This window comes from Homo sapiens, chromosome 19 (assembly GCF_000001405.40).
Source record: "Homo sapiens chromosome 19, GRCh38.p14 Primary Assembly".
NCBI lineage: Eukaryota > Metazoa > Chordata > Mammalia > Primates > Hominidae > Homo > Homo sapiens.
In genome coordinates this window covers 28,219,763-28,243,981 of record NC_000019.10, presented here as the reverse complement: position 1 = coordinate 28,243,981, position 24,219 = coordinate 28,219,763, and the positions used below count along the sequence as shown (strand labels likewise).

Below are 24,219 nucleotides of genomic sequence, written 5' to 3'. Positions count from 1 at the left end.
TTTGGTGCTTTAAAAGAAGCTAGAAATACTGAGAGAAGAGAGAATAAGAAATTGAGGGACAAGACGAGAAAAAGTTTTCTTATTCTGCATTGTTCCCACCATCCACTTGGGGCCACCCGCAAGTAAAAGAGAAGCTGTGTTCACACACAGATGAGTTTAAAAGGGTGAGAAATCTCACTTGAAACTAGCATTAAGATGCATCTTATGCTTTAAAAAATTTTTAATTAAGGTATAATGCATGCAGCAAACTTTGTAAAGTGCACTAATTTTAAATGTACAGCTCAATTAATTTTTACGTCTAAAATCATCAACCAGACAAGACATAAAGCATTTCCAGCTCCCCAGAAGAGTTCCTTTTGCCTCTTCCCAGTTAACATCTCCCAGAAGTAGCCACTGTCCTGAATTATACCCTCATACATTATGTAGTCTTTTGAACCTGGCTTACTGTGTTCAGCTGTGAGAACAATGTCTGTGTGATTTATCCATGTTATTGTGTTTCTTAGCAGTTTATTATTTTTAATTTCTGTGTCATATTCCATTGTATAAATATACGAAATTTATTCTCTTGCTGATGAACATTTGGATTGTTTCCAATTTTTGGCTATTATAAATATATTTAAAATAAATGTTTCCAATAAATGTTGGAAATATGCTTGGATATTTTCTTGACTCTTTGTGGGTGGCCAGGAGGGTTGAGGATTGGAACTTGGAACCAAAGTCTCTGAAATAAAGTTCGAATCAATCATACCCTCTGGTTCCCAGCAGCCCTCCATATAGCAGAAATTATAATCTCTGGACATTGCACACAGTTAAACAATTTATCTAACCTAGGCAGCCAAAATGTATTCCACTGCAATGATGACAATTCATTCCTCCTTATACATGATGGGTCACAGGCAAGAATGACACCGTAATAGCCAACATTTATTAAACACACATTATGTCCCAAGCCTGTGCAAAACTCCACCTGGGCTACCTCACTCATTCTTATTTACAGATTACAACATAGGCAGTATTTTTATCTCTTTTTAAAGATGAGAGGCTGTAGAAAAGATCATTCAAATGCAAAGTACTAAAATAATATAAAAACTTAAATCCTTTAATAATGATAGACTCAAAAACAGTAATAATTTAAAATAGATGGAGTGGACAGGGTGTGTTAGGACAGGGTTAGCCATCAAGGAGTCTGTCCCCGGATAAGATAGGCCTTGGGCAAACAGCTCTATGGCGGGTGTTCCAGTGTAGCTTCCTCTTTGTAGACTGACTAGCTATATAGGGGAGTAGTTCGCAGGCTCAGGGATGTCTGCACATGCATGAGTTGGGTGCTTCACGAAAATGCCAGTTCCTTGGTTACGCCCTAAGGTGACTGAACCAGAATTTTGGAGGATGGCTCTCAGGCATCTTGTTTTTAACATGCACCCCAGATGATGCTGATGGGTAGCCAGGGTGGATGTCTCTAGAGCCCCCTCTAGCGGTGACTTTTGAAGAAAGTCTTTGCCATTGTTGTCTCATCTGTTCAACTTGTGGGTGATTGACTGGGCCTTTGAATGCATTGACCAGATGACTTTATGTCACAAAGCCTTAATCACTAACTTTATATAAATCTACTTTCACAAATAATATAACCGTTCAATTCTTTCTGTGATGGCTGCTTTTATTTCCACAAAAATCAAGACAACAGCACATCTAATTAGACTCACAGAATGCTCAAGAGTTTGGGTCATGTGTTTTGGCTTTTGAAATTTATCTTTTTAATTTTCAGTGATAGAGATAGGGTGAGAGGAGCATACTTTTTTTTAGAACCTAATTTTTGACTTTCTAAGTTCAAGACTCATTATGACCCAGTTTTTCAGGGATCAGTAATGATACAGTGCTTACATTTCATAGAATGCCCATATTGGAGATGAAAACATATGCTCCTTTCCTTGCTGCTGTTCTATTTGGAGGGTATTTTATGAAAGTGTCAGGCTGATGAGTAACATATCCTTATCCATATTCAAATTTTCCAGGAAGTTATCTACAAATGGCTTCCAGTAATTTAAAGTAACTTAATGTACTGTAAGCAAAACTCCTTTTCTCATTTGTTTTCTGAAGTGAGAGAAGTATCACCTAAATATTTCATTAATGGGAATCTTACAAAGCTTCCCTGTATCTCAAGAAAGACCAAGGGCTACTGAAGGATCTTGTCCTTGGTCCAAGGGATTTCAGGGGATGCACCTGTCTTCCAGGTGTATCATAAAGGTCAGGAGGTGTGTCTGGAGGTGTTGCAGGGAATGGTCCTTAGCTACTCCAAGCTTCCTTAGCTCCAGTCTGGGGAGCTGGAAAGGCGTCAATCTTGTGCAAGGTGAGTGGAGATGCTCATGGAAACAGTGGAGGAGCTGGTGCTTGAGTGGAAGAGAAAACGGAACACCCTGCATTTGGGTCATGGTCCCAGCACATACTGACTGCACACCCTTGGGCAAGTTATCTAACCTTTTTGTGCATGCACTGATCTATAAAATGTGCATGATGATGATACAGCATCAGCCTCCACAGGGTTGCTGTGTGCACTCCACGGGAATCTGTATAAAGCTCAGTGTCAGACAGCAGTCACTTTTCTTATTGTATCTGGGGCTGCAGACCCTGTGTCTCTTTCCCAGTGGAACTTATAAGTGCTCAGCTGTGATGTTTTTACAATGTACAAATAAGTTGCTGATTTGTTCAGTTTTTGTTTACACTTGGACTTTTATTTATTTATTATTTTTAGAGACAGTGTTCTTCTCTGTTGCCCAGACTGAAGTGCAGTTGCACAATCACAAGTCATTGCAGCCTTGAACTACTGAGCTCAAGCAATTCTCCTATCTCAGTCTCCCAAGTAGTCATGACTGTAGGCACGTGCCATCATGCCAGAAAAATTTTTCAATTTATTTTCTTTTTTTTGTAGAAACAGGGTTTTGCTTGTTGCTTAGGCTTGGATGGTCTTCATAATAAAAACTCCTGGAGCAGGAAGTTTGGAGTGGTTGTTTCATGGAGTGTTGATAACCTGAGTTGTATGATTTAGATGGATGGATAACAGTAGGGGCTTGATGGAATAAAGCCTCTCCAGCCAAACTACTCATCCCTCCACCTTGCCTGTGGGCCCCATATTTCACCATTGTGATGTGCGGGAGTGTGTGGCAGCAGGTGGCAGTTGTCTTGATGAAGCCCAGAGCTACCTGGCAGAATCCTGGGAGAATAAGGTACATGTGTTCTATGGGGAAAATGTGCAGAGACATGGGTGCCATGGAGCTGGGTGTAGCCAGTGAACCAGGAATGGCAGCCAGGTCTGCGGAGACATGTCACTGCCGCAGTCCCTCCAGCCCACACGTTTCAGCTTGCAGGTGCCTGCTAGCCACGTGACTACAAAGGAGGGGCCTCCAGCGTGTCCTTCCAACACTCCTCAGACCTGAAGGATTATTTTTCCTCTCAGCCAATCTTCCCCTTTAGGGGTCCTAAATCTCTTTTAAATTTCAGCTTAGCCAAAACTCTCCAGCATTTAAATACAATTTGAATCTGAATGTCTTGGGACTGGGTCTGTGCTACAGTTACCTCCATTTCTGCTGCCTGTCACTCCCAGCTTCACTTTTCCCCTCCTGCTGACCCTTCTGGGCACTTAACTGGGTTGCCTTTGGGAAGATATGAGTTTTTCCAGGAAACCTTCCCTGCTGCCCCCAAGAATCCAGCGTTTCTTTGGACTTCTGCAGCCTCCTGCGTTTTCCATCAGTGCTTTGCACATCAGTGTTTCTTTAAACCATTTATTAGGAAATAGTTATAGATCAGAGCAGTTGCAAAACAAGTGCAGAGTTATACCCATCTCCCAGCCTCCACCTATGGCAATATTTTATATAACTGTAGTGCATTATGAAAATCAGGAACTTGGCATTGGCACAATGTGCTTAACTACTAGACTACGATGGACAAATAAGTTGCTGATTTGTTCAGTTTTTGTTTACACTTTGGAATTTGTTTTTAATTTTAGAGACAGGGTCTTGCTCTGTGGCCCAGACCGGAGTGTAGTTGCACAATCACAACTCATTGCTGCCTCAAACTCCTGGACTCAAACAATTGACCTGGTCTACTCAGATTTCACCAGTTTTTACATGGACTCATTTTTTTGTGTGTGTGCATGTTTTTGTGCACAGTTCTAGGAAATTTTGTCACCTGTATGGAGATTTGTATAGACATCACCACAATCAAGATACAGAACTGTTCCCACACCATAAGGAACCTCCTCCCCATACTGTCTGTGTCTTAATTTCCTCTTCACCTGTCTGACTTCTCCAGCAGGTGGTCAGCCTGCTCAGAGCAGGGTTCTGCTCACTGCTGAACTTTTTAGGACACAGAGTAGGTGCTCAGAAAATAGGAGTTGAAGAATGAGGGAATGAATCTGGAAGTCTTTCCAGAATGACCTGCGCATGCCAAGCCCTGTGCTGTGGGGGCTTCAGGGAGAGTGAGATGTGGTTTCCTGCCCTCTGGTGGTGGCTGAGGTCCTGGGCCTCTTGCAAGGAGGGGACTGCGGTTCGAAGCCTGGGACTTCCAGCGGCAAACAGGTGGGCCCAATGCCCACTGTGCAAGACAAGCCATTTTCTGCTTCTCGTGTTTGGTTTTAGACAACCCATTTAGGCATCTTGTATGGGACACAGTTGGGGTGCCTGAGATCTTCACTTCTGCCTCACAAGCCTGACTACACTCAGAGCCTGGCACCGGCCCCAGGAAAGTCCAAAGTCATTTCTACCGCTAGGATACAAAGTTGGTGACAAAAAGACACTAGCTGAGGCGCTTCTCAAGCAATTGTGTGGGGTCTTTTTAAAAGATTAATCTGTGCTCACTATTTTCCCAGCCAAATTGTTCAGGTTGGAGAAGCCCCTCTCTTTTCACCACCATCTCCTGCTCCACCTGTTCAAGGTGTCTTTGGATTTTTATCCTGCCTGGGTACATAGAGGACTTTAAAAAACAGACCCAGGAGGAGAATTGCTTTTTGAGGCTTTTGTTTTGCTCTTGCTTATTATTTTCTCCCTGTTTACTTGTTTGCAAATTTGCACAGTTATTGGAAGAAACTTTCTGAGCACAAATCATGTAGGCAAGATTAATTTTGTTCCCCAATCAAATCTATTTCTGTGACAAAAACATTTTAGCTTAGGTTTAAAAGTGTCTGGTGAATAAAATTAATTGCATCAACTAAAGAAAATGCATTCTGTCCAATGCATATAGATATTCTGTCAACAAGACAAATGGACTCAGTAGTAGAAGTATCTCTGTGGGTGAAATGCATAATAATGTAATTACTTTGCCAACAAAATGCTAACTTGCTTTAATCATTCTGTTCACAGTATAATGTAAAGTGATTTAGTGAGTAAAATGAATCCACTACAAATTGTTTTATGGTCATAATGCAGCCCTTTGGTGGACTGTAAATTGATGATAATAATTTTATGGGCAAATGATTTTTCAATTAAAATGTCTTTTTACAGACAGAATGGGAGTGTTACAAATGGCTCCCAATAACCCTGTGCCAAGTCACAGGCAGAAAGTGCTGTCACCTACATTAACCAAGCCTCAATTGGAAAGACTCAAAAGCTCAAAAGGTGATTTATTTTCATCAAATTTGTAATTTCCTTCCCTCCCACTTGAGAAGTATTTTCTTCCTGCCTTTACTGACCCAATAACAAAAATTAAATCTAGCAACCAACCCACCAGTCACCAGCAGCCATGTTTCCTTCCTGTGCCTTAATTGACTATGGCTGTATTGTTCATTAATAAGCTCTTAAACCAGGGCAATTGTTTCTGCTTTCTAGTATGGGCCCCATTATCTCTAGTGCAATAATTATTGCACCCATGAAAATGAAAAATTATTATAGTATAGTGGTTTTGAATTTCAAGCCTATGTTGAAGGAAATAATGTTTTTATGTGGGCTAATTGTCATAATTTCTTTTTAGAAAGGTGCAATTTCTGACCGGTTATAACTTTGCTGTTTCAACATCATAGGTGCTTGGAAACAGCCCCTTCCACAGTGAGTTTGCCTCGGTAGGGAGAAGAGCTGTGCCCTTAAGCAGCCCCATTTGCTCTGCCTCAGGCTGGTCACATGAGTGAAGGGTCCTGGGTGCTCCTCTCTGCCCTTGTCCCACCCAGCAAGGTTGGAAACTTGGTCACCACCATCCTTTCCTCCTTAAGCAAGGCAGCTTCATTGCTTTCGTTGTTGAGAGTTCCACGTTCTTTCCAATTTCCTTTTCTGGAGGCCACACCCACTGGAAATGAAGCAGACATCATTTAAGGCTGCACAGAGAAGGGGAGGTCATGTCAGAGATGGTAGGTGGTTAGTTACGTCAAAGGTGGCAGAATGGTGAGTAAGGGCAGAGACTAAGTCACTAGAGCTACGCTGGGAAGAAGCTGGCCCTGCTTCTTCCTGGCTGTGTAATCTTGAGCCATTCACTCTGTTATTCGTTTTTTTTTTTCCTTTTGAGACAGAGTCTCAGTCTGTTGCCTAGGCTGGAGTGCAGTGGTATGATCTCAGGTCACTGCAACCTCTGCCTCCCGGGTTCAAGCGATTCTCTTCCCTCAGCCTCCCGAATAGCTGGGATTATAGGTGCCCACCACCACACCCGGCTAATTTTTTTTTTTTGTATTTTTAGTAGAGATGGGATTTCACCGTGTTGGACAGGCTGGTCTCGAATTCCTGTCCTCTGGTGATCCACCTGCCTCGGCCTCCCAAAGTGCTAGGATTATAGGTGTGAGCCCTCACCCCTGGCCCATTCACTCTGCCATTCTGAGACTGCCTTTCTGCATCTACAGAGTAGGGATAAATAGTACCTACTTCTAGATTATGGAGAAGATTGAATGAGGTGATGTCTAGAAAGCACTCACATATAGCTGTACACAGTAAGCAATGGCTGTTACTGTCACTGCAGTCACTACCACTCAGCCAGGCCCTGGGAACTATTCGATGGGGAAATAAGAAAAGATATATAAGGCATAGCCCTCCTCTCAGGAAGCGTGATCTAAATGTGGACTTACTGATACAGTGGAGTGAAAGATTCAGATGTTCTTTGCCCTCTTCTGTTTTACCTTGAATCTCAACTTCCTGTGTTTTTGGAACTCACTGGAGTTTCTGACTGCACTCACAGCTCTTGAATTTCCTTCTTCTTTTCTTCCAGGGCAGTCAGAGCCCCTCAAGAGTGGCTGCCCACCCTCACAGCACTGTTCATACCCATAAGAAGAATGCCAGGGGATGGCTCGAGGTATCGCCACTTTGGGCTCCTGAAGTTTGAGTTGAGTTTTACTTTCAGCTAATTGGTGAACATCCCCCTTTCTCCATTCTGGTTCACAGTTGGTCAAATTCAAGATCAGAGGCAGGGCCGCTTCCTGCCCAGGGGGCTCCTTCTGAAGCCAGCTCGTCAGCCTCCATCTAAAGCCAGCTCGTCAGCCTCCGTCTAAAGCCTTCCTTTGCACAACACAGCTGGGCCCCTGGAGCTGGATGGGGCACGCGGCAGGCGTGCCTGTCTTCTCGTAAAAGCACATGATGTGTGAGAGGGAGCTACTCTTCTCCTTTCAGTTCAATGAGCCAGGCTTTGTGTCTCTCTGGCTGCCATGATTAGTTCCAGCAAGGGGACATGACCGGTGTGTTCACTGCCAGATGGTGGCTTGCTGTGCTGGCTGAACATGAACCACCCATGGGTGGGACTACTCTGTGCACCCAGTGCCTAGCACAGGACTGGGCAGGGGCTTGGGCAGGTACTGCATCCACCCGCAAACAGGCCCATTTGACAGAAACTTAAAAAAAGGTAAGCAGAGAGGAGCATTACTGTCTTCTCTTCAGACACCTCTCTGCCCTGTGGTGGCTCCCTAGGATCTGCTCCATCACCCCTTTCATTAGTTTAGGTGATCAGACCTGCAGTCACCTCCATAAACAGTGGGTTCACGTGGGAGAACAGGAGGTAGCCAGGGAGCTGAGCAGACTCAGGGAAAGCTATTACAAGCATGCTTATATTTACTCCTCACAACAGCCCTATGAGGTAGGGCTCGAGGTTACCGGCCAGAGGTTATGCAGTTAGTGAGCATCAGAGCCCAGGCTCAGACTGACTTCAAAGGCTTTGTTCTCTCTCCCACTATGCAGCTCTTAATGAGATAGGTTAAAATGGAAATCAGCCACCCACCCACTTACTTCTTCTTCAATCACTGCACTCTTCTCAGGCAACTGTTACTCACCAGGGAAGTTGGGTATAAAGAGGAGCAGGACACAGTCACAGCACTGAGAAGCTCAAAGGTGGCAGGAAGAGGGAAGCATCCTAGAGAAATGAGTAACTTTAGTGTGGAATATCTTTTGAAACCTGCTTCTCGTAAGGAAGTTGGTTTTTAAAAAACTAAATTGAAGAAAGCAAATAGTTATACTTCTTCAAAAATCATATTATAAAATGTGGTCACCACCTGCTAATTTCTATTCAGCTGATCTGAAACGATTGCATTTTAGCAAACACTTAACTGTGTCAAACACCTAGACGTTCCTGAAAACAGGCTTTTAGAGAATTGGAGAATCACAGTGATGGCACAAGCCTTCGTGAGCCTCTAGCCATCAGGGCGTCCTCTCAGTGGGTTCCGGTCAGGTGGATCCATTAAAAGATGGGAGAGGAGACCAATGGGACCTGGTCAGGTCAGCTGAGCTGGCTCCTCCTCTGTTCACTTTTGGGTTGCTTTGGGGGAAATGTCCTATTTGAAACTGTGCTCTTAGGAAGTCATGAAATTTTTTAAAAATGCTTTATTGACACATAATTGACCTTGACTTTTTTGTTTGAGAATGAGGAGATGGAGATTTTCATGCGCACACACACACACACACACACACACTTATGATAGTTGCAATTTTCTGAAATCAGATAATTTTTCCTGAAGATTATTTTGGCCTTTTCCGATTTACTGGATACATTTCAACAACAACAACAAAAAAGTTCACACGTAGAGGAACAGGAAGATATTTGTTAGTTAAGCTGAGAAAGAGTAGCAAATAGGTTAAAGAAACCTGAAGTCCTGTTTCTGAGAAGTCATTTCAAGTTCCGCTCAGCTCAGTGGAGAATGCTCTACAGTGCAGCTCCGAACTGCTATGAAGCCGGGCACAGGAATGCGGCTGTCAACACCCAGATGAACTTGTGTGCATGACTCAAACTGAAAAGTTAACCAGCCTCACAGAGCCTATTAAAAAGCCAATCAGCAGGACAAGAGAGGCAGCCAGAGCCTGGTGCAAAGAAGAATTTCAGTGCAGCATGACCCAGTTCTACAGCAAAAGTGCCTCTTTGCCTTGAATCGGTGTTTTTTGAAAAGTCAGTGAATGACTTGGGGAAAACATTGTGGAAAATTAGTGCCTCATTGGATGGTGTCTCTGCTTTTGCCCCAACTCTCCAATCTGCCTTGGTCAGGATGAGGCTCAGGAACTAGAACGGCGATTTCTTTATGATATACCTTCTGTAGACTGGTGTCAAAGCTCAGACACGATTCTGGTTTTATTTGTTTGTTTATTTCCTGCTGATAAGGGGAGGATCGGTAATTTCAAGTCCAAGTTTTCCTTTGTTTCCTATTTTGGATGATGTGTTAAATATGTGTAATTAATTATGTTGTTTGAATCTCATGATGAAATAACCTTGATATAGAAGTTTTCCCTTTTATAGTACTTTATTTTCCTTCCTCATTTATTTGTTCCAACTAATTTATTCATCTAGTTCAGTTTTCTTCATGCACTCCATTAGTAAAGACTTTTCAGCCTGTCCTCCCAGTAGATCAATATTTATTTATTTGTAAATTATAAATATGTACTACTACTATCTTTATCTAATTTTTAAAGGCACAATTGGTACTTAGGGCCTATCATTATTAATGACAACAGATACAAAATCACTTGAGTGTTTTGTTCATTTTTGCTGACCTTTTTGGACCAGTTATCTAATAAGATAATCATGGTTTTTAACCTCATAATGTGGCTAAAAAGGAGCTCAAACTGGGAGATGGAGTTCTATCACCCCGTTTTGCTGCTCCATTGTGCTCGTATCATCAGTAAAGAGATGAAGCAGGAACACTTTCTGAGGAGCCTGCCAGCCCCACCACCCCAAGCATGGGAATAAATAAAAATCCTATGTTCCTTCAAGGAAAATTCAAGGAGCCCAGTGATCCATGAGAAGTAAATAAACAACTTGATAAGCAAGAAGGTAATAAATAGGAGCTTAAAACAATAGCCAAGGAAGTTAGAATCAGGAGATGTTTGGTTTCTATAGAAACTAAAGATAACATCTTATATGATCCTGAGTTGTGTTTCAAAAACTCTATTCCCTACTGAGGACGCCCACCAAATAGATCCACGGGGATTAGACCTTGGAGAGAGGAAAACTGAGGACTGAGCTCTGGCCACCTTTCTCTCTTCTAAATTTCTTCCTGGAGTAAGTTATGGCCATGGGCCAGACTTCACATTTTTTTCCCTGACCTCAACATTTTAAACAAAGCTTCTCTTCCTTAACCAATTGCAGATAAGAAAATCTTTGAATCTACGTAAGACCTGTAAGCCCTCACTTCAAGATATCTTTCAGTCCAAATAAATGTATTAACTCCAGTATTTATTTATAATTTTTGCCTACAACTTCTGCTTTCCTGAAATTTAAAAACCCATTTAAAGTCCTGTTTCTGAGAAGTCATTTCAAGTTCCACTCAGCTTATGCCTTTAAAAACCCATGCTTGTGAGCCATTGGGGAGGCCAGGTGTTAAGCGTGAGCTGCCTGATTTTTTTTTTGTTTGGTGCCCTGCAAATAAATGACCTCCTTTCTCCCGCTGCAAAGCCTCAGTGTGGATGTTTGGCTTTACTGTGCAAACCTCAGTTCAGCTCAGAAACAATATTATCTCCAGTCTGCAGCTTTCTCTGTAGGAATCTTCATAAGCCTCCTGTCCATTGGTGAATGTTGGTTTGGTTAAAACAAGATGTCACCATCCATAAGTCCACTAACCAAGCCAAGTAACCTGCAAAAACCACACTTGCTTCTGATTGATGAAACTCCTCTCTCTCTCAAGGGACCTCATGAACCACATGGGACATGTGTTCATCTGATAAAATATCTGAGAGCGAGATCCAGAGACAATCATGTATTAACACGCTTTTCTTGTTCAACGTTTTTGTCCTGCGCCCAGTGGATGGTCCTGTGCATCCCTGGAGGTGCATGTAAGTTCCTTTGGAGAAAATGTCTGACTCAGCCCCTTCCTGGATCTGAGGACCCTGCACACACACCACATGGGAGAGGCTTAGGGACCACATGTTGGTCAAGGGAGTTCTGAGATTAGCAGGGAGTGGGCCATGAGGTTACAAAATTCCTGACATGAGCATGGCTTCAGAAAAGAACTTATGAGATGTAAAAGTGTCAAAAAAAACCTTCACCTGCGTCAAAATTTTGATTCCATATTTTTAGGTATTCTATCCCCTGCCACGTGAGCTAAACCTTCTTTCTTCTGCCTGATGCTCTGGTCTTTGACTTGGTTTTGACTTTGTTGGTACTGTACCCCACACACGGTAAGCTCCCATATATGTTCAACAATAGCATTTAATGTCAAGCAGTATTGATGGATGTCTTTAAGTTCAACAATAAAAGGCTTAGTTGTGTTTTGTTTTTCTTTAAAATCTTGTGCCTCTTCAATCTTAGCAGCCTTTTTTTTCTGTCTGTTGCATGGATGCGTGCTATGTTCTAAGTCATCCTGCAACTATCTTTGCCACCCACTAGGACATCTGTAAGTGACCTGAAACAGGTCTAAGTTCCTCATATCACCCAAGAAAATGCTGGGCATAGAGTAGGTACTAAAACAAAACTTTATATCAGAAGATAGAAACTGGCCACACACAGGAAAATTCAGCCCTGAGATGCATATCCCTGCAGATGTTAACATGGTTTTTGTTAGTTGCTAACATTTATAAGTTACATATGTTGCATAAAGAGCCAGATTCCTAGCTTTCTGGAGAAAGAGAAGACCTGGGAAAGTTCACCTGCACTCCTGCATGGAAACTGTCAGCTGGAGCTGACCTGTCACTGCCCTTCTTGACAGTTCAGACACTCACCAGGTTGTCCCCTCCTACACCACTCCCTGTTGATCCCTGACATGAAAATGGAGCATCAGATGCTCATTAACCATTGTTCCTGTGCTTTGGGTTTGATAGAAGAGAGATAGGATAATTGACTCTTCACTGACCCTGTAGCACATGCTCTTGGTGCCCTACATGTTTGCTCCATGCTCCCCTCTCATGCCCAAGACCACACTGGGGCAGGCCAGAAGTGCTGGGAAGTTAATGCTACCCAGAGCAGCCAACAAACAATGACAGACAGAAGTTGGTGGGTAAAAATAAGAGTCCTCACCGCCTTGCCCCCAGGTAAAGTAACTGCAGCAAGCTCCATTCTTTCTCCCATAGAGCCCCCGGCTTCCAGAGAGCAGGTGGAGCCTGACTGCCTACAGTGCTTGGGAGCACGCTCTTCATTGCCTCCCTTGCCCTCTTGTCCTGTCTGACTTCTCTCCACCAGAGGATCACTTCTCAGAGAAATGACTTGTTACCAAACCCTTGTCTCAGATTTTTGTGTTTAGGAAACCCAAACTAACACTCTTGTTTCTATCAGAAGTGAAGGAAAGATTGTGAGAAACACATGTTTCAGGAAAATTAGAATGAAACCATGCCTTTCTTAGCTTAATGGACAAGTGGAAATAGACTTTACTTTCACAAGTATCTGTTGAGAGAATATCCCAAGACCACTTCATCTACTCACATTACATTTCTATAGGCATCTAAGTTGGAGAGTCCTGCTTCAATAGACTAAATAAAGAGCAAAAATATCGAAATTACTTCTCACCGTTCTTACGCTTTTTAAAAGCTTTCTGAGCTTTAAGAAAGCTTCTGAGATTGAAATAAAAGCTGCAATATGAAATACAATTAGAACCTCTTTTTAATTTTCTAGAACTCACACCAAGGCCAGTTCCCTGCAGCCTCTAAACAAATACAAACTAAGAATTGAAATAGTCCCTATGCGGTCACTAGAGTTTCAGCACATGGGGTGCTTCTTGGTGTCTGCTTTGCCTAAGCATGTCATGGTAGATGTACAAGCCTTTAAAATAACAAGATTTTCTCATTTTATGAGCAATGAGTTTGATGGTGAAGCCCTTTGAAGCCCTCCCTGGCAGGCTGCTGGGTCTGAGAGAAGGCATTCATAAGGCCTGGGCCGGTAGGTTTGATGAGCTGTACAGAGAAGAAAAAAAATGAACATACAGTTGTAACTCTGCACTTTACACTGTATCTTCCTCCAGGCAATTGAGTTATTTGGAACCAGCTAGGGGTCAGTGTCTGTGATGGAGAGGTGCAGTCTTGAGGTGGGGGGAGGGGGGCTGGCCTCAGACTTACATTGATGATATGATTTTTAAACTAGAATTCCAGCCACTTTCTTGTGACTCAGAGATTTTCCTTTTTTTTTCTTTTTCTACTGCTGCTTGCCTTGCTCTTTTTTCTTTTTCTTTAATGTGTCAGGTGTCACATTAGGCATCTGAGTGACCAGGTGTACATCTGGTGACTCCTAAGGATAATTGGTACTTTAGGCGAGGCATGCACTCCCTGGTTCACCTCCATGCTCTCTGCTCTGTGTTGTCTTCTTGAATTGGCACCTGCTGATCCCCGTAAGCTCCTGAGTCATGGGCACATGTCTATGCTTATGTGGAGACTCTTTCTAGAGTGTTCACCCTCTTCCCAGAAGAGACAGTGAGGCCAGCCCAAAGGGCGCTGGCTTTGAAAGGCCTCCTGCTGTATTGCTTGCTGGGGTGACCTTTAGAAAGACGCTGAAACTCTCAATTCCTCAGTCTCTTCAGATGAAAAATGGGAAGAGTCATCCCTTAGATCACGTAGGGATCAAATGATCTAAGGGATCAAATGAGATGACAAATTTAAAAGTGTTGTGAAGTGCTATGTGTCAGGTGACTGATTAGTTGTGATAATATTAAAAGCTGCAGGCCGGGCACAGTGGCTCATGCCTGTAATCCCAGCACTTTGGGAGGCCAAAGCAGGCAGATCACCTGAGGTCAGGAGTTCAAGACCAGCCTGGCCAACATGGTGAAACCCCGTCTCTACAAAAATAAAAAATTAGCCGGTCATGATGGTGGGTGCCTGTAATCCCAGCTACTTGGGAGGCTGTGGCAGGAGAATTGCTTTAACCTGGGAGGCGGAGTTTGCATTGAGCTGAGATCACGCCATTGCACTCCAGCCTTGGTGACAGAGTGAGACTCCATCTAAAAAAAATAAAAATAAAAATAGTGAAGAAAATTTAAATTATTGTCTTAATTTAAGTTTTCAACTGCCTTCAACGAAAAAAGCTTTTTCTTTTCTCATTTTAGCTCTAAGAATGGAGAGAAGGTAGAGAAAAAGTGAAAATATAAAAGGTCATTAAGGAACTTGTGTTTCTTGGCAGCAACAGCAGAGTGGAGATTTGTACCTTTGCCATTAAGAGGAAGAAAACATCATGAAGCTCCAGGGGGCTAAGTAGAAGCTCCTCTCTGAGCTGGGGTGGGCTTCTGCCATTGCCTTGTGTTTAAAGCATTCTGGTTCACTGGCAGCTTGTTGGGCCAATAAGTCCTCATTACCAGGCAACCTATTAGTCAGGCAAATAAAAGACAATGTGTACAATCTTAGGACCTGTGTAAAATTTCATACAGCCTAGAAAAAACTTGACTCTAGGCGCTTGAGAAAGTTAGCATTACAAGGAATGGATGCCATGGACTCATTTGTTTCATCCATTAAAATAAGTCATATGAAATTGCCAGTTTTGCAGATCAGCCCTCAATGTGGGAAGGCACTGTCTGGTCAGCTGAGACCTGGATAGGATGAAAAAGCAGAGTAAAAGCCATTCTCTCTCTCTGTCTCTCTCTCTCTCTCTTTCTCCTTTCTCTCTCTCTCTCTCGGAGCTGGGACATCCTTCTTCTCCTGTCCTTGACAGTCTGTGTTCACTAGTCTTTAGACTCTGAGACTTGCACCAGTGGCCCCAGATTCTCAGGCTTTCAGCCTGGGACTGAGTGACACTCAATGGACTGAGTCAACAATGGCTGAATATTGTTGATTTTATGTGGTTCCACCTAATATTAAAAAACAGCAACAACAACAAAACTGAAGTAAATAACTAAAGGCTGCCTTTGCCATGTTGGTGTAGGGTGACCTGGGAAGAAGCATGACTTAATCAGACCTCAGCTCTGCCCTCCAGATGCTCACAGAAATCACCAAGCTCAAGCCGGCCACAAAAGATCCATGACCAAGCTGCAGCACACGTGGCCTTAGGGAGGTGAACCTCATCTGGGGCACCTGGTGGGCCGGCTGGAGGGAGAGGCTGTGGATGGAGCCAGGAAGAAGAGGGGCATGTGGTATAGGGCCGGGTGATGGTGGCGATGGGTCTCCTATAAGTCCTGTTCTTTTTGTTTTGTTTTTTTAAAATTTTTAAACTTTTATTTTAACTTCAGGGGTACAAGTGCAGGTTTGTTGGATAGGTAAACTTGGGTCCTGGGGTTTTTTTGTGCAGATTATTTCATCACCCAGGTATTAAGCCTAGTGCCCATTAGGTATTTTTCCTGATCCTCTCCCTCCTGCCCCCTGCAACTCTTCCAATAGGCCCCAGTGTGCATTGTTCCCCTCTGTGTGTCCATGTGTTCTCATCATTTAGCTCCCACTTATGAGTGAAAACATACGGTATTTGGTTTCTGTTCCTGTGTTCTTTACTCCTAAATATGTGCAGTCATTTCTGGTGTCAGCCTTGGCAAGGCCCAAGTCCACAGTCTCGGGAACATCTGCAAGAAAAAAGAAGCAGGTTTAAGTCACTATCTGAATGCTAGGTCTTGTGTGGGAGAACATCGGTGTGTTTGTCAATGTATGGATATTAATATTAAAGTAAAAATTGAGGTGGAATAGAGCGACCCAGAAGGAAGTGCGGACTCACCAAGAAATAAGTGAGTCCCTGCGTTGTTGATGGAGGGCACTATATACTGTATATAGCATAAACCAACTTTTTGTTTTGTCCCCTTTCCTTTCAAGGTTAATCTTTAAAAGCCAGCAGCATAGAAGAGAACTATGATTTGTTTTTCTCGTACACTCTGAGATGTGGCTGCGACTTAAGTTTTTCATTTTGATGTTAACTAAAAATGACTCGTGTTCATTTCCATCTCAGCAGCCGGGGATCACTTTGATAGTATCTTCAATTTTTTTGGTACCATTTCCCACTGGGGGTTGTTACCAGAACTCTAGCAAGAATGGTAATTTGCTATAGCATGTGAAAATGTCTATAAATCCTTAAGGCTTGTCATATTAGGAAGAATTTAACTGCATGATATGGGCAAAAAGTTGTAGAATCAATGATAAGAATAAATAAGGAACAGCAGGTGGTTCAAATTGATATTGACATTGCACAATGCGATCTATCTCTACCCTATTATATCTGCCCTCACCCTGGAGGGATGCCGAGGCTCACTGACATTGCATCAAGGAAGAAAGGTTGAAGAGTATCAGTTTTGAATATGCTATATATTAGTTTCTTTTGTTCATGTGTGTTGGGAATGGCTGTCCCCAAAGCTGTAATTCATATTTTAGCATCAGGTCTCTTAAAAATGTAGAGATTGTGTTTGTCTGAAAACAGATGGGATTTCAGACAAAGCTAGGCTATCATTGATAAGGTGCTTCCTGTCAGTCAAAAGGTGGGAATTCTAGGCAGACTGATTATTTTTCTGATATATATATATAAAATGTCCGGTCAGAAAGAAAAAATGTTGGTGCAGAGAACCTGAGGAAAGATGCACTTGATATTTCTAAAAAGGAATATGTAATTCTAGTTCTTTAAGACCCTCTAAAATAAAAGCCCTGCCCATGTCTGCATGGGAGAATGTTGATTAGGAATCCCTGGCCCCTGGGGCTGGCTGTGACACACAGCTGAACGGCACAAATCCAGCTTGCTTCAGGATGGTCCTGCTGGCTCTTTTGCCTTTATATGTTTAATTGAGGAGTAACCTGCCAAAAAAGCAAAGATTTAGCTTGGCTACTGGGAGCTAGAAAATGTTTTCATTTCTCTAGCGCCTCTCAGTCCTGATCTCCTTTGTTATCTGTTCAATTTTAAAGCAGACCATTCATCTACTGGGAGCTAAAAACAAACCTGTCTGTCACATTTGATAACAGTTTGAAATTAGTGGCCGAATTGTATTTGGAATTAAATGGTCTTGTGAATGATCAGACTGCACAAGGAGCTCTTTCATGAAAAGCAAGGAACTTTCTGTTGGATGTAGGAGCAGAGCTGAGCCAATGCATCGTGGACTCGGGCATGGCTACTTGATGAGATAATCATTTTCTATTTATGTTTTATATTTCTTTCCTGCTGCAGTTTGTCGGTTCCTGCCTATTTTACAGGCTCCGGCTCTTGGAGGTGTTGAGTAAAGGGGCTGCATTCTCCATAGATCCACTTCCTGAAAGTGATGTGATACAGAGGTCTTAAAGACCCCACCCTGCCACAATAAAGTCCTAGGAGAAGAGCAAATAGCTATATGAATAAACTAATACAAAAAAAAGTATTCTAGAAGCACAGATCATTCAGATTCTTCTTACACTGAGTTTTGTAGGAAAAATATGTGATTTTTTAAAAAATTAACTTTTCTACTGCATGTTTACCAGAAAATCTGCAGATAACTACTTGATGCCAAGACTCATTAAAATGTTAGTGCAGTTAATGGAGGAGATTATAAAATCATCGGAGACATGGTTCATAAGCACTGGGCAGCCAAACCTGCGGTCAGAGCTCCCTGGGTATTGGAGGAAAAAATGTTATCTTGGGTTTGTGTATGTGTGTTTGTCTGTGTGTGAAGAGGGGAGGAACCACAGATACTTTTTGAAGATCTGGGAGACCTGTCCAGCGCAGTCTCTGAGCAGAGTTTCAGACCTGCTTAGAAACATATAGTGCCTATCTCTGCCTCCATGTTTATGACACACTGGATTGGATCAGCTATTCTTGAGATGAATATTCCAGCCTTGTTCTCAGAAATTAAAATTAATGCTTAAAACATATGAAAAATGCTCATGATCACTAATCATCTGAGAAATGCAAATCGAAACTACAGTGAGACACCAACTCACACCAATCAGAATGGCTTTTGTTAGAGAAAAGCAGACACTTATGCACCATGAGTGGGAATGTAAATTAGTCCAGCCACAGTGGAAGGCACTTTGGAGATTTCTCAAAGAACTAAAAGTTGAACTATCATTCGACCCAGCAACCTCATTACTGGGCATATAACCACAGTAGAATAAATCATTCAACCAAAAGGACACATGCACCCATATCTTCATCACAGCACTAGTCACAATAGCAAATGCATGGACCCAACCCAGATGCCTATCAATGGTGGATTAAAGAAAATGTGGTACATACACACCATGAAATATGATGCAGCCATAAATAAGAACAAAATCATGACCTTTGCAGCAACGTGAATATAATTAGAGGCCATAATCTTAAGTGAATTAATGCAGGAACAGAAAGTCAAATACTGCATGCTCTCAACTGTAAGTGGGAGCTAAACACTGCGGACACATGGATATAAAGATGGCAACAGTAGACACTGGGGACTATGAAAAGGGAGAAGGAGGGATGGAGGGAGAAGGGCTGGAAAACTTCCTGTTGGGTACTATGCTCACTACCTGGGTGAAGGGTTCCATCATACCTCAAATATCAGCATTATGCAATATGTTAACACTTCTGTAACAATTATGCACATGTACTCCCTGATTCTAAAATAAAAGTTGAAAAAAAAGAAAAAGCAAAAAATGAAATTAATATTTAAGGAAAACTGCTAGAAATTTTCAAAATTTGATAATAGCCCTGGTGAGGAAAGGAGAGCTGGCTGGTGCAAAGATGAAGTGAATTTAAGGAGATGGGGAGGAGTCAGACACCTCCCCCAGGACACTGAGCCAGAGTGTCACTGCCTATGCCCTCCACCATGACCTCAGGCCCAGCACAGTGCCCGCCACAGGGCATGATTCAGTGCACAAAGAAATACAAAGAGAACAGTCATTGAGAAACCATCTTCCTGAATGGTTGTAACCAATGTTATAACAACAATGATAACATTATTATTATAATTATTTCACATTACTAGGAAGCAGCTCTGGGCCAGGTCTTGAGCTAAGTACCTCACATGCATTATCTGGTTTAATCTTCACGCATACGCCAAATCTTAAAAGTAAGTGGGGGCCATTTTCTTCTCCACGATGAAACAAAAGCTTAAAAAGGATGAGTCACTCACCCGAGGTCACATGGCTGACCCACAAGGAACCAAGAGTCCAGAGTCCATGCTCCTAGCCATGATGCTCCACTGCCATGCCTTGAAGTTCCTGCCGGCGTTGTCCATGCTCAATGATTTTCACTTCTGTGAGATGTAGGCTGCGTGGGCGCAGGAACCACGTCTGGCGCCAACAGTGCTGTGTCCCCAGAGTCTGGCACAGTGCTTGGTACATAGCACAGGTGCATTAATGAGTATTGAATGGATGTTGGAGGGATGCAGAAGCCCTGGTACACACTGGGAGGCCCAAGTGGCCATGGCTGTGCTGCAGGACTCTGCTCCTCCCTCTGCCTTAGCTCAGGGACAGGTCTCCCCCTACAGTAGCCACTGTTGGTACCCCACCCAGGAGCCTTTTATCTGGCCAGTGCAACCACTTCTCGCCTGCTGTGGGTGTCAGCTGAAAATGGCTCACACCTGCACCTTTTTAGGAGAATAGTTATCTGCTGTTGATGTCTGAGGGTTAGGCACTGCCCCTCTTTTCTCCCCTTACAAGGATGGACCTTGCTCATGTCTGTGGTGAAATTCACGCTCCAGAGAACCCATAGAATCGGGTGGAAAAGAGACTTCTGCTGATAGCACGCGGCTGCTTCTCCTTCCCTCATTTTCTAGCAAACTCACCTGAGAGCATCTCTCAAATGATTACTTATACAAGAATCCCTGTCTCAGGCTTGCTGTTAGAAAACGTGACCTGGGATACTCCAGAATGTAAACCTTGAAAAGGAGATTCTTGCGTATCTCCTTTCACCTCTGTATCATACTCATGGAATACTCTAGCATCTTTCTGGACTTTTTGCTGAGGCCAAACAGGACAGTTATTGTTGCCTGTTATTAAAATGAGCTCAACACACACAAATCCCAATCTTCGTGTATTTATTAGTGAAGAGGAAGAAAAATGGCCTCAAACTCGGAAACTGTAAGGAGTTTCTCTGATACCCCAATGCCTTCAGAATGTGGGTATCTTGGTCTAGGATGGTGACCAAGATCTGATAACAGTACTGTCAAAGAACTCAAAATGCACCCCTGCTACCGGGTGGGACTCCTGTGTGTCACATTGAAGAAGCTGTATTATCTGAAAACAGCACCCAAAGGAGTCCCTATTCGGTTCTCAGGAAAGAGACACGCAGCTGCTGCTACAGTTTTTGTTCTTACTGACAAGGGTTCAATGGCAGACTCCTGTTCAATTTTATCAAGATCTGAAATGATTTTGAGGTAGTTAAGGGGAACTTTTGGCTGAACTGACAAACACAGAGAGTCCAGAACAAGAGAGGAGAAAGCCCCACCTTGCCTGATGCTGCTTGCCTGCAGAGGGGTGGTAGAGCAAGTTAGGGAGGCATCTGTTAAACAGGTGACTGGCAGTCTAGGTGGGAAAAGGCCAGGGGGAAAGTGCCTGGAAATCAGGTCACCTGGAGGACTGAGGATGCTGAGCCTGAGAAAAGAGGCATAGTGGGGACTGGCTGAGGAAGGCTTGGTGCTTCTGGAAGGCTGCCATGTGGCTTCGGATGGAGAATTCACAGTGGGCGGAAGCTGTGCCCCAATTCACCTTAGCATCAGGAAGTCTTTCCACCAAAGTCACTCATGAATTTGAAGGCTGTTCTGGTGGCTTCCCAGCACAGAGCTGTTTGAGCTGAGTCTTGAGGGCTATTTGCCTGCGCTGAGGAATGGGGCAGTGTGTGCTGTGCACAGGTCTCTATGAGGTAGCCTCTGGGTTCCTTTTGACTCTTTAAGACTCAGATTCTCTACATTGGGGTTGAACAGGGACATACCTTGTAGAGATGATCTGGTTACATAAATTTATTTGTGGGGAAATTCTTGGGGAGAATGTGTGGATAAAACCAAGACAAGACTCAGTCCATGGCATTTATAAGATTTTTCAGCCTCAGCCCTCCAGCTTGGGCAGTGAGGCTGTCACTGGGGCAGCTGGACATGTATCCTAAGCCCCTACAGCAGCCTGTCTCCTTGAGAGCTGTGCTGTGGTTCCAGAGGGTTCCAAGGAAGCGTGGCTTGGAAAATGCCATAGCGCAGCTTCTAGATGTGCTGGCTCTGCTGCTCATGAGTCTTCTGACTTTGGGAAAGCCCTTGAAGTCTCTGTTTCCTGTGAAGATGACAATTTCTGCTGTGTCTATGGATGAGACATAAGAGGAAATGGGAAGAAGCCCAGACAGGACTTCACATTTGCGGCTCAGCAGTGTCAGAGCTATAGCCTGCTTCCCAACAGAAACCCTACAGCATTTGCTGTGGAAGGTGCCGAGTTCCTTGCGAGACCTGGTGAGGCTGCTGGGAAGATGGGAAACTGGGTCGGTAATGCTGGGGCCCAGGTAGGAGAGAATCAGTGCTGGGCCCAGGAACCTGGAAGCCACTTAGAAGTGATAACTGAGGCCCCGTGAGTGGACAACCCCTGAGGGGAAAGCATGCAGGGAAGTGGAACAAAAAGTCAGGCTGCAGGAGATTTACAGGGTTGATCAGAGGATCCCAAAAGGGGCAGTGGAAGCTGGAGGGTCTGAAGGAGGGAAGAAGGAAAGCTGCCAAGGTGTGGATTCATACAGGCTTCTGATGACCAGCATTAGATGTCAGGGATCATGGCAGGCGAGGAATGGGAAGGAACACTGGGCCAGTGGCGGGGAAGCCACCAGTGAGGAGGCAGGGCAGGACTCCCCTGGTGCCACATAACTCAAATTAGCAGTCATAAATGGTAACTATTGGCTCTTAACATCAAAGGAAGGATTGACTCAGAAATCCACAAAGAATGCCAGAAATGCAGCTATCCTTAGAATGGCTAGGACCAGGAGCTCAAACAGCACCCAGGCTATTGTTGGCCTTTCATTCTCTTTCATTCTCACTTCTCTCTGCTTATTGGCCTCATTCTGATTTTTTGAGATGGAGTCTCGCTCCTGTCATGCAGGCTGGATTGCAGTGGCATGATCTCGGCTCACTGCAACCTCTACTGCCTGGATTCAAGCAATTCCTCAGCCTCCCAAGTAGCTAGGATTACAAGCGTGCACCACCACACCTAACAAATTTTTGTATTTTTAGTAGAGACGGGGTTTTGCCATGTTGGTCATGCTGGTCTCAAATTCCTGACCTCAGGTGATCCACCCACCTCGGCCTCCCAAAGTGCTAGGATTACAGGTGTGAGCCACTGTGCCTGGCCTGGCCTCATTCTTACAGTGATTATTTCTTACAAGGGAGAAAAACCTGGCCACCTGTAGGTCCTCATCATCTTAATTACAGAGACACTGGACATACAACTGGACAGTGGCCAGACCACATAGAAAGATGAAACTTTGACCCACAACCTCCATCAAACCCACCCAGGAAACTGGCCCATTTATATACAATAAACAGGCCAGGATGCCAGTCTGATATGTCAGACATATAGAAAGTCAGATGGCTCTTCTCTAGCGAAAATCGGGGAAGCTCAACAATAAATTCTAAAACAATCAACCCCAAATGGTCAAGACTTGATTTATAATTGACAGATTTCCTAATGTTTGTCCCTGCTTCCAAATTAAGGCCAATCAGATAAATCCAAATATGCACCCCTAACCTACTGCCTAGGACCCCCTCTTCTAGGTAGCAGGCCTACAGCTTCCCTGTGCCAACAGCCTTCAATCAGGGCGCACATGAAACCTTCCCTTGTTTCTACTAAAATGCTTTCCCACTCCTCTGTCTGACCCTGAGTGATGCTAAAATGCGAATGATGGTGGTTGGCTCCATTGAAAGCTCTGAATACATAGGCTTTCCTAGTTCTCATTTTGTTGGTCTTTGTTTATTTCCATACTTCATGCCTCAGCTTCAGTTAGAAATCCTCATGACAGCATTGCGACTGATCTGCCTTGTGCTCCGTCCCTGGACCAAGCACTCCTGCCATTGTGGGTACACATATTTAGATTAGCTCAGGATAGATGCCACCCCTCAGAAAGATGTGACAGCTCCCATTCTGATTAAATGCATAGATAGGGAAGGAGTGATGCTCCTAAGAGGAAAGGAAGGCTCTGTATCTCCGTAGCTGAGACAACTCGAGACGGTTGGTGCTGAGGAGACCAAAGAGCTAATGTTCTCTAGAGAGAATTAGAAGGTGCAGCTGTTTAGAAGGGCACTCAGAGTGTGCATCTCATGTGAAGACGGAGTGGGGAAAGGGGAAGGGATGGAGAGACTGGGGCTGGAAGAGACATGGCTGCAGACATCCCAGAGCTGAAATGGAAGCAGGATCAGAAGGAAGGATGACAGCTGAAATCACCCTGGGGTGGAAGCAGATGATGAGCTGTGGAAAGAAAGAAGCTCCAAATCAAAGCAACAGCTTGGTATTTTCCACCAAGCCATTTTCCTGAACCTTCTTGCCCTTTTCAACTCTCCTATTCTTCCTCCTGATCTCTCTTTCTGCATAAAGAACAAACTGACTGACAGAGGCTGAGTGTTGAAAAGGGCATGTGATGCGGGGTTCTCGGACCTTTGCTTTCTGTGCTTCCTCCCCACAAGCCCCAGATGCTGCACCATGACTCCTCCCACAGCATCCGCTCCCAGCCTCTGTTTCTCCCCAGAAGGAGGTCTTGGTGCTCAGTGACTTCTCTGACAATGCGAAGCTGACTCCTCTGGGTGATGACACCCATTCTGCTTTATTTATTCACCATTGCACTGGTGTGGCATGGTGAGAAGGGAAGAGAAACTTAAAACGGGAGCAGAAGATGCTTCTCTTTTTTGCTTTCTCTCTTGAGAATACTGCGGGAGTGGCCAAGCCAGAGGACCCTGCTCCCGTTAGAGAAGCTGCTGTGGTGTGGGAGGCTGTGAGCTTCTCCTGGGTGATCTCCACCAGCATTAGCTGCAGGGATGCAACGACATCTAGGAGAGCTGGTGGCTGATGA

General features: G+C 43.8%; 2 annotated features.

The window, feature by feature from the left end:
- Positions 6,998-7,708: an enhancer, noted in NCBI's record as "H3K4me1 hESC enhancer chr19:28727181-28727891 (GRCh37/hg19 assembly coordinates)". NCBI's record gives its function as "activates a minimal SCP1, AML or CMV promoter by ChIP-STARR-seq in naive H9 embryonic stem cells {active_cell/tissue: H9 hESC(naive)}" and the evidence as "EXISTENCE:reporter gene assay evidence [ECO:0000049][PMID:30033119]".
- Positions 7,709-8,420: an enhancer, noted in NCBI's record as "NANOG-H3K4me1 hESC enhancer chr19:28726469-28727180 (GRCh37/hg19 assembly coordinates)". NCBI's record gives its function as "activates a minimal SCP1, AML or CMV promoter by ChIP-STARR-seq in naive H9 embryonic stem cells {active_cell/tissue: H9 hESC(naive)}" and the evidence as "EXISTENCE:reporter gene assay evidence [ECO:0000049][PMID:30033119]".